Source organism: Homo sapiens, chromosome 21 (genome assembly GCF_000001405.40).
Source record: "Homo sapiens chromosome 21, GRCh38.p14 Primary Assembly".
Taxonomy (NCBI): domain Eukaryota; kingdom Metazoa; phylum Chordata; class Mammalia; order Primates; family Hominidae; genus Homo; species Homo sapiens.
The window spans coordinates 14448446-14450149 of NC_000021.9; the positions used below are offsets into that span (position 1 = coordinate 14448446).

The window sequence follows — 1704 nt, forward strand, 5'->3', positions numbered from 1 at the left end:
AAGCAACTTCACCTCCCACCATCCCAAGGTGGAGCTAGTTGCTAGTAAGATTTTGAAGAAATTAAAGTCCTTCCTCTCTTCAGAAGGTGGAGTAGATGAACTATAAGGATAAGAGGTGGCAATCCGTAAGTAAAGTGATTGAAATGCAGATTATGAAAGTTGTATCATTATTAGTCTGGAAAAGAGACATTTATTGAATGAATATAAATTGTTTGCCACTAACTGCTAGACTTATTGAATTCTACTCAACTAGTGAGATCTAGTTTAAGGGGAAAACAATAGAAAGTCCCTAGGTCTATCTAGTCATTGTTTTATTTGTTCTTCACCATAACCTGTTAGGTGGATAAAGTTCCTTTATTTTTATCATTTTAGAGAATAAGGAGTAGAAGCTCAGAGAGTTTGTGTAACTTGCTCAAGTAGTGGAACTAGGACTCCAACCCATTTCTTTTGATTCAGAGTACAGTGATCTTTTGCCTGTACTTGCTGTCTCCCCATTCAATGTACCCACAGGATGCTGTGTGAAGTTCTGTAGGTAATTTGTAGATTCACCACGGGATGTGCTCTCAAAGAACTTTCTTTGTGAAACATCAAACTATCATACTCCTCACCCTCCTCACTCTGCCCCTACTGAAGCCTACAGGTGCAGAAATGGATATGCACATCCACACTCATGATGTCTTATAGTCTTATATCTTTCTTTCTTTCTTTCTTTTTTTTTTTTTTTTGGAGACAGAGTTTCACTCTTGTTGCCCAGGCTGGAGTGCAATGGTGTGATCTTGGCTCACTGCAACCTCCGCCTCTTGGGTTTGAGCAATTCTCCTGCCTCAGCCTCTCAAGTAGCTGGGATTACAGGCATGCGCCACCACGCCTGGCTAATTTTTTGTATTTTAAGTAGAGATGGGGTTTCTCCATATTGGTCAGGCTGGTCTCAAACTCCTGACCTCAGGTGATCTGCCTGCCTCCGCCTCCCAAAGTGCTGGGATTACAGGTGTGAGCCACTGCGCCTGGCCATGAAGTCTTATTTCATATTATACTTTTATTCATGTTCTAGAAGTGGGACTTACTCAGAAGTGTAAGCAACTGACTGCTATGGAGTATGACTGGAAAGTTCACAAGCTCACATCTGCCCTAAAATATCTCTCCACCTATCTGCCAAGATGCCATACTTTCTTTCAACCAACTTTAACATCTTATCTGTAAGCATACTAGAATTGGAAAAACAAACAAACAACAAAAAAACCTGGTTCAATTATTTCTATAACAGTGCCTTTCACTAGTGAGTGTGAAATCAGTTTTGCAGGTCAAAACCAGCATTTCAAATATGAAGTAGAAAAAATAAAATAGAAAATATTTAAGTGAAGTGCATGAAATTGGGGGAAATATTATTTCATGACATTTTGTTTCCATTTTTTTCTTTGTGTATGTGAGACCTCACATACTAAATCCTTATGAAAAATTTATTTCTTGGGAGATGACAGTGAAAAAAAAGGTTAAGAAGTAATCTTTTTTAAAAAATAACTTTATGCTTTTTGATTTGAGGATTGTTTTGACAATATGATAAAAGTTATGGTTCTTCTCTCAAAATAAAGGCACACAAATCTACACACCTATGTTTTGGGTACAAACGTAAAGGGCTGATAAACCATATGACTCTCATCCACTGTGCTCAAGTTGAGGACATCTGCTCTAGCTAAAAATGGCATG

The 1704-nt window shown here is 38.1% G+C and overlaps 1 annotated feature.

Moving 5' to 3' along the window:
• Window positions 678-841: a silencer, noted in NCBI's record as "fragment chr21:15821444-15821607 (GRCh37/hg19 assembly coordinates)". NCBI's record gives its function as "represses an EF-1alpha promoter that drives an FKBP-Casp9 reporter gene in an ReSE screen in both phorbol 12-myristate 13-acetate-treated (for megakaryocytic differentiation) and untreated K562 erythroleukemia cells {active_cell/tissue: K562 | K562(+PMA)}" and the evidence as "EXISTENCE:reporter gene assay evidence [ECO:0000049][PMID:32094911]".